Source organism: Homo sapiens, chromosome 5 (assembly GCF_000001405.40).
Source record: "Homo sapiens chromosome 5, GRCh38.p14 Primary Assembly".
NCBI classification, from domain to species: domain Eukaryota; kingdom Metazoa; phylum Chordata; class Mammalia; order Primates; family Hominidae; genus Homo; species Homo sapiens.
Window position 1 is genome coordinate 158,810,159 of NC_000005.10, and position 14,643 is coordinate 158,824,801.

The window sequence follows — 14,643 nt, forward strand, 5'->3', positions numbered from 1 at the left end:
AAGACCAAAGATATATTTTCTTCCTCTATCAAGAAATGATCCAATACATTGGAACTGGCTGGGATATATCCCCCTCACCCACCAGCCCACGGATAATACACCCAACAGCATTTGCCTCAGGCCCAGCACATAGTAGGTGCTCAGTATCTGTTGGCTTCTCCAGCTATGTTCAAAAGAGAAACAGATAAAAAACAATGAAGAATTAAAGATCTCAATTTGTACCAACTACGTTCATTTTAATTATCATTCTTCTAAATAGTAGCCCAAGTACATTGCTCTCTGTTCATATTCAACATTTGCACTATCTTGAAATTTTTATTACTTTGCCCCAAGGACGATGAAAGAAACTGAAGGGTTGAGAAGAGGCCTCAAATCTGACACTGTCTGTGTCCCTGTTCCCTGGGTCCCCTGCTGCATTTCTCCCCAGAACTGTGGATGAAAAATGTGGGTTTGAACAACTGGTATCCTGCTGATTGCAACTGTCAATTAAATAAGCCAGCAACACAGGAGCATATGTTCGCATATAAAATATTGATTAATTTCACAGATTGGGATAAAAATATATTAGTACTTGGGTTCTGCTTTCATGCTTAGCGTTCAGATATGCACTCAGTCCATTCAGATCTATTTCTGCACCCTGTGGGCTCAAGAGTGTTACTTTTGTGTTTCGCTTTTCTTATCTTTCTCTGGTTGCCCATGTTAGTGCTTCTGTTATAACTGACCAGCAGCATACGTTTAAGCAGGATTTTAATTACTAGGTCATCTCCCAGCCGACTTGCCCACGGCAGGCCGGCAGAAAAGCCACAATCCTGCAATCCATGCTTCAGATTTTCTCTTGTGTCCCTCCAGGTAAATCTCTTTTTTTTGAGGATGCTAAAATCATGCTGATGGCATCATATTCATCTGATAACAATGATGACCACCTAATTTCTATAAAGTATCATTTCTGTCCACTGAGTATTTCAAGTTGCAGGGCTGGCACAGGGAGTTTGAGATGGGGTGCCTGATAGTGTGACGTGATACCAGGACTTTTTATCTTAACCCAGAAAAGCACCTTCCCATATATCACTGCACATGCCAACTAACTTACCCTTGGGATTTAGCATAGATCTGGCTTTTCAATTTGCCTTTGAGTAATGTCGTCAATTTGTTTCAATTGAAGCAAGTATTATATTACATGCTCAAATAGCAGGAGAATTTCTCTCCACGTCTGAAGTCCAATGTGGAGGGGAGGTTAGCACTGACTAAACAATAAGAAAAAACAGTGGTGAGGACCCCTGTGTCAACTACTTGGAGATTCAAAAGCTGCAGATAAAAACCTAACTTTGGCCACGACCAAATCCTTAAAGGATGGCCTCAGTTTCCCAAATGTGTTTAGTAAAACTAATAATACTAGTGCCCTCCCATGGCTGTTAAGAGCATTAAAAGAGATCATACAAAGTGCTCAGCACTGAACTTGATGCAGAGAAAGTACTTAACAACCGCTATCGTAACAGTAAGGCCATGATCACCCAAAACACTGCTCTAAATGCTACCATTTTATGGACACTGAGTTCTGTTAGCTCATGATTAAGAAACTGCAATGGAACCACATCTCAAAGTCAAAGAGTAAACAACCTATGGAAATTTTCCAAGTTTAGTTTCTCAAAAATGGATCTCAGACCTAACCTACCTTCCCTATTTGCCCTCCCTACAGCTTCTAATGTTTTATCCCCACGTGGAATTTTGAATATGTGTTCCCCTCTCCTGTTCATTCTCATTGAAAATTTTAAAAGTTTCCCTGATTCTTCAGACTTGGCTGAGTCCCCCAGTTCTAAGCTCTCTTAGGAGTCTGTATTTGTACCTTATAGCACTTAACCATCATTGCAGTTTAAATCATTCCGTGTGCCATTATTTGTCTAATATCGGCACATAAATACTTACACTCATGTGACAGTCTACGTCATAATGCTAACAACTGTCCCTGCCTTATCACCTCTGTAGCCCTATTGTCTGATATAATTGGCAGTCAGTCAATAAACATGTGTTAGTGTTAAATAGATGAATGATTGAATGAATAAGCAAATGAACTAAAGAGGAATCACTGGTGTTATTAAGATGTTAAGGAACTAAACAGAGTAGCTGAAAAGTTAAGAATTCTTCCAAAAGTTATTAACAATTGCCACTACACCCACAATGGGCTTCTTAGGTTGACAACTGGTGGCTACGTGGAGTCCCATTTCCTGGGTCGACCTAGCCCCCATTTCAGCAGCAGGCACTCTATTCTCTTGGGGGTTAAAATTAGCACCAGTAAGCTCCCCCTTTAGTGGGCTCTAATCATGCAAGGACCCAGGTGGATCTTGCTGACAGATGTTAAGGTTAGAAGGAAGGGTAGCAGCCAGATGAGAAAACAGAGCCACCCCCTTCCGGAGGTACCAGGACTTCCTGCCTTTAGACCCGGTGGTTCCTGCCTGCCTGCCCCTCCCCCATGCATCAGTTTCAACACAGTTGCTGCTCTTTCTGTCATCTGAACTCAAATTCTATCTCAGAAATTGATGGGCGATCCTGCCCTTGACAACACAATGTCAGCCTTGCTCAGTGTCCAGCTGGTTCCGTATGTATTATCATAATGCGCTGCCTGGGTGGACCCTGGCTGATTTTCTCTCCTGATGCAAGTCCTCTTTCCAAACTAATTTCTGCTCTCTGACATGCAGACCCTACTTGTTTAAAAATAAAAAAACAGCAGCTTGGGAGTTTTATTTTTTAAAATCCTGTTAGGATATTTAAGTCTATTCTAACAGTAAACTGAGCCTAAAGGACTTTCTTTTAAAAATGATTTGACTCAAAAAAAGAATGTTTCCCAGGGTCCTACACTGTTTCCTGGTGACTTGAAAGAATTATTACTTCCCCCAACCCTTACAGCCCTCTCTAACAGCATTTCCCAAACTTCAGTCCTGATTTTCCTCTATCCCTGTACCACTTACACTATTATTTACTTAATAGTATTTAGCTGCTATGTTTGTTTAGATCAACTTTTTCTTTAACTTTAGTCTTGCCCTAAGCAATAATAGCTGTGAGATCATGATTTTGAAGTTGGAGTTATTGTTTTGTTTACGCATTAACATAAACACACAACCATTAAAAATGTTTAAATGTTTATCCTCCATTTTCTAAAATTATCTCACCTACTGCATGGGAAATAGTGGTCTGAAAGCTCACTGCAAACTATCAAGCCGCTTGTACACAACACCTTCCCAGCTGAAGAAATCCAGGGAGAAGAATGCAGGGTGAGAGCTACCTAAGGCACAATGGCTATGTATGCCACATTTCTATGGCTTTTCCAGGCCTCCTAGAACCAACTGTTAACCTCCTGCAGAGATGGCCAAGGTGGAGGGAAATTGGATCCTTTCACCTGGGCATTTTGGTAGCCACTTTTCCAAGGCTGCAGGTGTGTAGCCCCTCAAGACATAAAAGAACCTCTCACAGAATTAGCTGGGTTCAAAAAACAAATCATCAGAGCTTGAAGGGCTCTTCCAAGACCCACCTTAATTGATGAGGAAACAGAGGCCCAGAGAAATCAAAGTACATACTCAAAGTCATGTAGTAAGGTAGTGGCAGAGCTTGGTTTTAATTTATTTCTGCACATATAACTGAAAATGGTCAAACAAAAATATTTCAAAATCAACCCCTGGCCACTGCTTCTAAATATCTCATCTTAAGAAGGGTTTATGAACAGCACATCAAAGCTTCCACTTGCCCATAAACATCATTTGAAGCCTCTGAAATTCTCAAGTGAGGGGAGCTCCTGTGACAGATAAGTATAGAGACAGCTTGGTTTGAAACAATCAATTAGGCAAATCAATGCAATTGGAATTATGATGCTTTTGTAACCAAATATAAGACAAAAAAAATTAGGCTTAAAAAAGTTCTGACCAGGCTGGCTCATACCTGTAATGCCAGCACTTTGGGAGACCAAGGGGATGTAATTGCTTAAGCCCGGGCATTGAAGACCAGCCTGAGCAACATAGGAACCCTGTCTCTACAAAATCAAAATAATTAGCCTGATGTGATGGAGTGCACCTGTAGTCCCAGCTACTTGGGAAGCTGAGGTGAGAGGATAGCTTGAGTGCAGGAGTTTGAGGCTAAAGTGAGCTATGATTGCACCACTGCACTTCATAGCCTGGGCAACAGAGCAAGGCCCTGTCTCATTAAAAAAAAAGTTTTTACATAAAGTCCTGTCATTTCTGGCCAAAATATAAGTAGAAAGCAACAATCTTTCCTCCCCAAATCTCCCCTACAACACACAACACACCACACTTTGTGCTTATTAAAATTAGTAAGGTGTGACTCACTCATTTATTAGCTCAACCAACCAAATACTGGAAATTTCCCACAGTTTACAGGTTTGTCAAGAAATTCATATAAGAAACTAGCCTCCCTATATCCAAATCGGTTTCCCATGTTATTTCTAGCATGAGGTTTACAAACTCTTCAGTATCCTAACGGTTGTTTAACTCATCATCTCATCATTTTCTCATGGACTCCTTCCTCCACACCTTGTACACGTGCCAGAGAGCCCATATGGTCAACAAATGATTTCTAGGGAGATGAGTTAGGACATTCTTGCAAATAAATAAAATATTACCAGCATCCTTATTATCTTGCCAGCCCCACAGAAAATATACTAGTCATCGAATAAAATCAGCATTTTTTAAAATTCAACTAGCAGAATGTGTCCCAGCCATGGGAAAAATTTCCTTCAGGTTTCTGAAGGAAAATCAACTATAAAGTAAATATACATGATGTGCCCCATTTTTTAAAAAGATATGCTCTGGGCTAACTTTTGAAAAGTCTGTTGAAGATACCAGCACAATTGCCTTGCTTGTGTTAAGAAAAAAATAAGAACAATAGGATAGGAGATGGAAGGAATTTCTCATACTGTAATGTAACAGAGCAGTAGATTAGAGTGCAGACTTCAGCATCAAGCTTCCTGGATTTGAACCCTGGGTCTACTACTTAATTGCTGTGTGACTTTAGGCTAGTTATTGACCCTCTCTTTAGCCTTGGTTTTCTCCTCTTTACAACAGGGTACTTATAGCACTCTGTGCCTGTCATAGTAGGGCTCAGGGAATGTTTATTGTTATTATTCTTAGCACTGTTATTAGGCAGACCTAAGGTCAAATTCCAGGTCCAATTCTAATTAGTTCTGCAGCTTTGAGTAAGTTATTGATTCTTTCTAAACCTCAGTTTTCTCATCTGTAAAATGGTGATAATAATTATTATATATCATGAGATTTGTTGGAAGACTTGATGAGATGATAAGTAAAATAGTTAGCATGGTGCTGGCATATATAGTAAATGATCCATAAATGCTAATAGTTTAAAAAAACAACAATAGTGGTAGTAAATAATAATAGAGTAATAAATATTATTACCTGGCCTGGTTACTGTCAAGTATGGCAAAAAAGTCTGAGCACTATTTCTCATTTGTTATCAGTGCTATTGGTGGTGCCATGGTCAAATGAGCAGAACATAGATCACCTGCTCATGAACCCTTCAGTCTGTCTGATGCTGAGATCCTGCTGGCTACCATATCCCCAGTGTTAGGATTTCCGGTGTTACCTGCTTTATGAATTACTCAGGGAATACACTGGAAATCAGTCTTCACTCACATCGTTGTGCATTATCTTGACCACTTACCACATCCTTTCTATTTCAAGGAAAGACAAAAGGCATCTTCTCAACTGCACAAAGTAAAAGCCCTGATTTGATACCTGAAAATCTGGGGTCTCAGTGCTCTATTTTATGACACAGCTGGATATTCTTAGCCCTAATGTTTTGCTCTTACACCTGTCTTCTTTTCTCAAATAGGGAAATCAATTGGTAAATTGTAACATGCCACCCTCAGTCACAAAAGATGACACCAATATTTTTCTACTTAGCCTGGGCCCTTCACCAAGATGATCTTGCCTTAGTGGGCTTGGCTGGGATTCTGCATCAAAACTAGCCACAGAAGGGCTGTTGGCTATGTGGGAAGCTATGCATCATCCATCATCTGCCCTTGAATGTACATTTCTGTCAGGAAGCTGGATTTATTTTACAGACATTCTTCTCAGCATCCTGGGAATCCCAGAAAGACTGGAGGCAAGGCTAGGCCAATATGAAATGGATAGGCATTGGGGTGGACCCCAAATCCTCTGGCATGTTTATCCAGTGACCAGGAAACTATGCAAACCCTGAAATGCACATGGACAAGTACAAAGAGTGCTGAATGGATTTTGAGAGAAACAAGCTATGTTTAAGCTTGAGCAGATTATATCCCCTCTCTGGGTCTCTGTAAAATGAGGAAGAGTGAAAGAAATGACCTTCCATCCTTCACTGACTTCACTCAGTGTGAGCTGTGGCTCAGGCATTGCCCCTGGTGGGAGGGGAGAGAGAAATTTGGGAGGGTATATTTTTCTCTGTTGTTTTAGTTTATTTTCACTCACTAAGTTTTGGTGGGGTAATATACATTTTAATGGGTCAAATAATGCAGCAGTCCTCTACTCTAAAGACCATGAAAAGGTGAGGGTCTCCACAAATTTAAAAAGATGCCAAAAGGTACACTCTTTCTAAGCCACTTACGAAAAACTAAATCAATAATACGAAGCCATCTGAAAAAAAAAGAGGAGAAAGGACTCTTAAAATGTTTGACTTTCTATGAAGAACACATGCCCTATTGATACAATAAGGAGTAATTAGGGGGACAGCTCCAAAGCACAGCCAACTCCCTGGTGAGTTTCCAAAGTCCAGCAGCGAAGAGCAAAGTTATAAGTAGGTCTGAGCAAACTTGCCCTGGGCTTTCACCGGATCTGAGGAGCCCATGTAATTGAAACTGAGTTCATCAAAGCCCTGCTTGACCTCCTCCCCACTTCGCAATTGCCACCAAGACCATGGCCTGACCAGCCCACTTTGGCCTGCATGATGTAGCCCTCACAGCCACCCTAGTCTCATCTCCTGCCACTCCTCCCTTGCCTGGGCGCAACAGGAGCCCTCTCAGTCTCCTTTTGTTCCTGGAATTCACCTAAGCAAAACAACCCTTGCACACAGTTTCCTATACCTGGCAATTTTTTTTTTTGTCCCCTTTGCCTAGTGCTATGGTTTGAATAGATGAATGGTTCAATGTCCCTACTAAAATTCATGTTGAAATGTAATTGCAGTTTCAACAGTATTACGAGGTAGGACCTTTAAGAAGTGATTAGGTCATGGGGGCTCTACCTTCCTGAACAAACTAATTCCATTATTGTGGGAGTGGGTTAGTTATAAAAGTGAGCTCTCTTCACCCACACTTGCTTGCCTTTTCACCTTTCCACAATAGGATGATGCAGCCTGGAAGCCCTCACCAGTGCTGGCATCATGCCCTTGGACTTCCCAGCCTCCAGAACCGTAAGACATAAACTCCTTTTCCTCAAAAATTACCCAGTCTGTTAAAGCAACAGAAAACAGACTAAGACACCTAGTAAAAACCTACTCATCTCTTCGGTTTTGGCATAAATGAGATTTCCTGAAACAAGGCTTCCCTGACACTTCATTACTCTCCTCTGCTTTTGTGGTCCCCCTTTGATGCACCACTCTAATTTTGCTTAGTACCTCTCCTCTCTATTCACATCATATATTCTGTGAAGACAAGGACTGAGTCTGCATTATCCTACTGCACCTAGCTTAATGTCTGGCATGTAGTGCCTGCTTAGTATGAATGAGCGATTTCAAGTCCACCTTATTGACACCTTATCCCTTGGCTGGAGATCCAGAGGAAGGGTTCTATTAGAAAATGCCAGTGGATTTCTCTGTTCCCAGGAAGCTCTATTTCTCCAAAGTCACCTCCTGCAGAAAGTCATGTGCCAATAGCTTTAGTTCAGAGCACCATAAAATAGTACATGCTAAAAGGAAGCCTAGAGAGGACCCCACCTGGCTCTCACTGGACATACAAAACTGAGGCCCACAGAAGCAAAGTGACCTTCCCAGGGCCACTTCAGCCAGAGAGCCTGATCCTCCTTCTATCCTCTTGTTAGGACCATATTATACAGAAGGGAAAAGAGACAGGCTCAATTTGAGGTAGTCTCTCCAAGCTCAAACCATCTTTCTCCACATTTCCGTAAAAACATGAAAACAAACAAACAAAAAAACCAAACAAATGAAAAACACATTTAAATGCAGCTGGTCACAGGAAGTCAATGGTGCTGGACACCCAGGGGCAACTGACAGAAGCAAAAACTGCCTCTGTCTGGATCAAAAGGATTATAGAAGGTCATATGCTAAAGATCAAGAACACCACCATATTGTCAGGGACAGTTGTAATGTGACACTGCAACCAAAAGGTCAGAATTCACTGGTGGTGGTGAACACCTGACTCTATTTCTCCAAAGCTATAATTACAGCCAGGAGATGGGCCCAGTGAGTCTATCATCAGTATTTATTCTTCAAAATACTTTGAGTGTGACCAAACTCCACTATTGTTTTTATTTATCTTGAAATCTTGGCACATTTATGTTTTATGTTGCAGTCTTTATTATAACTTTGAAGGGAAATTTAATTGATTTGTATCTGATGCCCACAAAAGCTAAATTTCAATCATTTTCCATTTTTAAAAACTGAGTATGTTTTAAAGAATCTATCTTCAATCTAAAAAAATAAGTAGGACCCCAGGTCAGAGCTCATGAACACTAACATGTTTATATTCTAAAAACTCTTGACTAATAGTTCCATTGTTTTTTTTTCCAAATAAATATGAAGGATGCACATATTCAAAACAATAACAAAAAAAAAAAAAACTAGATCTAAAGAATACCCTACTGGGGACTTAATCCCACTCCTGGAAATGGCTCCTACTGGTGGGTGAGCTCTAGAACGTGCTCACATTTCTCTAGTCACCATGGAGGAGGCAAGTCCTCCAAAAGCCCAAAAAGGGGAGAAGGGAAAGAAAAAGAAGAGAGGAAAGGAGAAAAACACATGCACACCAAAATAAAAAAATACATATATCCCCTTTAAAAAAATGAGCATTTAAACTGCTTGTCAGATGGTTTCCTGACAAAGCCACTAGAGTGTATTCACAGGCATTTGCATAAATGCTGCCTGTGAGTTCACCATAGCTGCAAGCGCTAATGGTACATAAAGTAATTTAGTCACTTCTCCCGGCATTCTATGTCAGAATGATGAGCACGGGCACTTTGCCTTGTTGCATATTAGATCATTAGATAATAAAGTGTTAGCGCATGCAAGCTGACAGGGGCTCTGCACCACAGTGTTGTGAGGGCACCGCATTTTGCCACAGGGGGAAGAAACAGAGAAACTGATGCCACAGTTGGCCTTGAATTCAAGTAAACACAACCTGGAACTCAGGGGAACAACAATGCCAATAGCAACACTCCTCAGGCCCCTCAATGACTCCCCAGAACACAGTCTTCATGAACTTGCCCAAATGACTGGAAGACAAGGCAAGTACACAGGGTAGCGCTGAACATAGCCTTGTGGCAGCCACTCAGCTCCTTTCATCCCGAGCTCATGCTTTTTCAAAAATTGGAACTGAGAGAGCAGTTACATTTTGAGGCTGCCTGTCTCCACGACTGTACATCTTCCATAAAGCTATTGCTTAAAGAAGAAACCTCACTAGGCTAAATGGTCCCATAAATATCCAGCCAAAGAAAATCTTGGTATTTATGAATGAAGAGAAAGTACGGGGGAAGACCATTTTCCACGATCTATAGCATGCCAGGATTCACTATCTTTGGACCATGCAAGAGTCTATGAAATAAATTTGCCTTTGTCAACTCTCATACTTGAATTACAGGGTCATTTATCAGAGCACAGGGGTTTGCGAGTCCATGGGTCACATAAGAAAGCCCATGCATGAATGTAAAGCACGATCTCTGTCTCTACTTATACACAGAAAGGTGAGCCACAAAAGGAAACTTCCTCCAACAGTCTGACAAGCAGGATATAAATAGAGATTTGCAGAATAGCCCAAAATAATTCAGGCTACCTGTAAATTAGATGGTAAAAAGTCCAGAATGGGGGAGAACGTAGGTTCCCACAGGTCACAAGAGGAGAACATGCTTTGCCGTCTCACCATGCGGTAGCTGTTTGAAGGCGGTGGGGGGTGGGAGCGGAGACACAGAGGGATGAGGGTGTATGATTCTCAAAGTCTTTTAAACAGAGCATTTTGAAATAGGACTTTTCAACAGCAAAATAAAGTATTACCCTCACATCAACATGAATTAGCATCTAGGTCCACTCCCACACATTACCAATGAAAGAGTTCAATAGTCATCCTTTGCTGAGTAGATATTTATGTGTCAGCCTGAAGTGTCTAAATGAGTGGGTGGTTTTGTGTGGTTGGTTGACTCACTCTGCAGAGAAGCAGATTTCTATGCTATTGTCATTACTAAGAATTTGAACATGTCTACCCTTTCTTTCCACTGGAGAGAAGTGAAATAAGGCTTCGGTGAAGGCAAAGCCCCTTGCTGAAGGAAATAGGACATACCTATGTCCCCAAGGATGGCCAACCACTTACACAGTGAAATGTCACCATTTTTTGAAAAATATAGTAATATGGCCATCTGTGGACTCATAAACTGAAGCAGGTGAATAAAATGCTGACTTTAAAACTTAGAATAATATGACACCCCAACTGAAATATTAACACTCTTAGAAGAGGGAATATCTGAGCTGGGAGGAAGCTTAGAGCTGTGTTGATCCAGAGGTCTCAAACTGTTGACCTGTGGCTGCATTCTTCCTAAGTGGCTTTTTTCCCCCTCTCCTCCCTTCAGTGTCCAAAAATTTTGTAATTAGTTACCAACAATTAAAAATTCACTGTTGCCAAACTGGAACATCTGGCCCCACTTGGGCTCTCATTCCCCTTAGCAACAACTGGCTGGGGCCGAGGGGCACCAGAGCGTGTACTTGCCTGTCTTCTCAGCCTCCACCCAGCCCACTTCCCTATCTACATTACCTGCCCCCACCCAAAGCACAGATTTTTTTTTAAACTCTCCTACAGATCATCACCTTCATTTTAACAAGGAGGAAATCAAGGATCCCAAAAGCTAAAGCGATTTGTCCAAGGTCAAATAGAGGCCAGAGTGAAACTAAATTGAATTTGGGGTTCCTGGTACCTATTTCAAGACCTAGTCCTTTATCATGCTGCAAAATAACGTTACTGATCCTCATTGCCTAGAGGGATCCTTTAGAGAAGGCTATATTCTATGTTTGCTTTTGGTTTTTGTTGGAGGGATAATTTGCCTGGTGTCAGGAGCTTTCTCACTGGCTTCCCAAGAGCAGAAATAGGAGCTGGGTGTGGCCTGAGCATATTTTGAAAGTGTGAACCCAGATTTCAAACTGACAGTCAAGTCTGTCACCAGACTGGGCAGTACCTATTGCAACTAACCACCCACAGTCAAAAACATAACTTCAATCCTTAAGCAGCACTCTCCAAATCATGCCCACTGAGTATTTCCCTAATTTTTTCTTCCTCCTTTCACCTAAACACCTCTAGTCACACAATGCCTTAAGTGACTCCAAGGGTATTATAAAGACAACATTACTGTAAAGTGAGGATCAGAATAATTTTAAGTACAGAAATGGAACTAGGAATGTAATCATGAGCAGGTGTTTGAAATGGCCTCCTGCAAAATGTAATATCCATCCATCTCAGCACTAATGAAACCATAAAGAAGCAGCTTTTGAAAGATGATGGTTTACTTTAAAAAGACTGTAAAACTGGATGTGGTGAAGAATCCCTTCTAAGAGCATTACATCTGGCTAATTAATAAAAAGTACAGTTCGTGTGTTCCATAAGCACAGGGGAAAAAGCCAGGCAAAAATGATGAGAGTGGCGTGTTTATTAAATTGGGATGCTGGCAGAGAAGGGAGTTTTCTACCTTGTAAATTATGGGCAACTCCTGGCCCATGGAAAAAAGCAGGCAATCAGGTGATCATTTGTGTGGTAGTGTTCTGAAAAGAATCTTGCTGACCCTAGCAAACTGGAAAGGGAAGTGAGGGAAATGGGTTGAGAGTTTGAGGCAATTGAAGAAAGTCTAATATGGTGACTGGTATCCAGCAGAGCCTCAGTCACTCATTCTTGGATGGACGGATGGACGGATGGATGGATGGATGGATGGATGGATGGATGGATGGATGGATGGATAGATGGATAGATGGATAGATAGATGAACGGATGGATGGATGAGTGGAGAGGAGGAAGAGTGGATATATTACACACACACATGCAGCACTGAAAAATTCAGGCGTGCCCCTAACCCAACCCATGGTTCTTCTGAGTGGCATTCACTTTCCTTGATTCAAATTTTTATCTGGTTTCCTTCAGTCCTCTCAAAGGCACCACTGATTAGCCATAATTCTCAAGACAAATGGGATTTCTCCCTACCAAAGTCTACTTACAGACAGCAAGTTCTATCACATGGTGAAGAGGTAAGAGTTAGGTACAGGGCACAGGAGGGACATTTGGTCTGGGCTTCATATTCAGAAAGCACCTCCAACCTCGACATTGAACCTGATCTCCAAATGAAGTTCAACAGGTGGTCACAGAGATACACCAGGAGGGTGGTAAAGAGGATGGGTTCATTATAAAACCTCAATGGTCAATTATAAACATGTCAAATATATCACAATTTTAGTGATACCAAATTGTGTGGCCTTTCCTTATTTTTCCCTTGGATTGGCCTTTCCTTATTTTGTAATCCAGTGGGAGCTTAGAATAAAGCAATGGTCCAGGCCTCCTTCTTTCTCTCAACCTGAAAGGAGGCAATATCAGCCATTTCCAGAGTAGAGAGTGGTCCCACAAGAAAGGTGGGCCTCAGAGATATTTTCCTGTCTTTAAATATTTGCCACCATATGTTGAAGAGAAAAAACCCTAGAGGACCAATCTTATTCAAAAAGACTTTTGAAATTTGAAACAGAATAGAACATGTGGTGGAGTGGAAGAAAGAAACCAAATATATTCACAGTTAAAGTAGCAATGCCAACCAATGAAAATGATTCGCCTACCATGTTCCAGATAAGAGGGCGTACCTTCCGAGGGGTCAAGCCTCCGAGCCCTCCGCCCATGCTTGGAATTATTATGGACAAACATGTTATCAGAGACTGCCAGGACATGGCCATCCACATTGACTGTCGTAGACACCACGACCTGGAGACATAAGAAAGAAATGAATGAACATTTTAATATAAAAGCGTGGTGGGTAATAAACTCAAGTTAAATAAATAACAGCTGGGAGCTGAAGAAAATTGCATAGCTATTTCACATAATAACTGGTGCTTATGCTGTACAAGTCTAACAAGAGGAGCTATTGATGAGTGGGTCTTTGGCATGGAACGCTTTTGATGCAGTTTTAAGTAAAATTGCACAGTTTATAGTTATACAGCAGAAGGTACACTGTTAACCATAATTTTAACAAGAGGATCTTTATTAGCATATTTTTTTACACAAGGGTGGTTGTGTTTCACCTAAATTACCCTTCAGTTTAGACACTGAAGCATATATCACAGTTGATCATGCAAATAAAAATCTTTTGAATCTTTAAAATATTTCTCCCCACTGTGTCAGGGTTAAGAGGATAGAGAAATGAAAAAGATTTCAGTAAGAGCAGGGATGCATTTTTCTCTCCTGGATGTCTTTTTGAGATTTCTTGTACGTTTTTCTTTCCACATTAGTTTGGTTCATCAGACCAAAGTCCCCCTCACTACTATTACCATCACCCCACCCCAAAAAATTCCTGCTAATTAAGGGTCTTAGATCTGTTTCAAATTAAAAAAAAAACTGGTGGGAATGGCCCAAGACATAATTTAGACACTGAAACCATCTCATAAAGTGACTGTGAACCCAGTTTGCCAGAAGAGACACAGGCAAAGATGTTGTCTCAGAGAACTTTGACTAAAACAATGAGAAGAAATGACCTACGCTTCTCCTTATATTAAATGGGGAAAGGGATTAAAACTGAAACCCACAGAGATATGTTTATTCATGCGACCTCTTACAACCAAATATAATAATTGTCTGTAATTGCAGCTTCAGCTCCCACCTCATGCTTTGACATGGGAAACAGCAATCAGCCCGCTCCCGTTTAATCCACCTATTATGTTGACTAATTAACTTTGCTCGACAGTTTATTTCTTCCTCCATTATCAGCCCCTGTCAGCCGCAAGCACCCTGCAGCATAGGGGAAACCTCAGGCTCTTTGATTGATCACCGATAGATTGACATGCAGATTAATTTAATTAGAATCACCTCACTTGAGAAATGAAAGACAATGGCAAGAGGGCTAATAGATCTGCTCTCATAATGAGGCGAGCCTCCAGAGCGAAGGCTGAGGATTTCTGATTTATTTTGCTCAATTCCCCAGTTGCTTGGAAAGACTCTCGCTTTAATTGTTCTTGGTTTTGAGAGGCATTAGCCTCTGAAGAGGTGAACCGCTTTACAAGGGTTGGCACAGATGGAGGCCTCAGTTTCTGAGGAAGCCTTTTCTCCAAGTTGGCTGAAGGGGGCATCGACTTCTGAAGAGTCTTGTGTAACACTCTTTCATCAGCTAAGCTGGGCAGAGGGGAAAACGCCAGGCCCTGGCCTATGCCTGTGAATTGTCAGCTTGGACGCCAGTCCCCACAGTCTTCCCATAC

The 14,643-nt window shown here is 41.3% G+C and overlaps 1 protein-coding gene across 28 annotated transcripts in view; it reads right to left on the bottom strand.

Annotated features, from left to right (window-relative positions):
- The window catches only part of EBF1 (EBF transcription factor 1), a 403,997-nt gene that overhangs the window by 114,239 nt on the left and 275,115 nt on the right, over positions 1 to 14,643 (bottom strand). For 19 of the 28 annotated variants that reach the window (NM_024007.5, NM_001324103.2, NM_001324109.2 and 16 more), the window contains one exon: positions 13,018 to 13,159. In NM_024007.5, coding sequence (NP_076870.1) covers positions 13,018 to 13,159 — 142 coding nt within the window. The remainder of the gene's footprint in view (positions 1 to 13,017; positions 13,160 to 14,643) is intronic. The other 9 variants (NM_182708.3, NM_001324108.2, NM_001324106.2 and 6 more) reach the window with 1 other exon arrangement.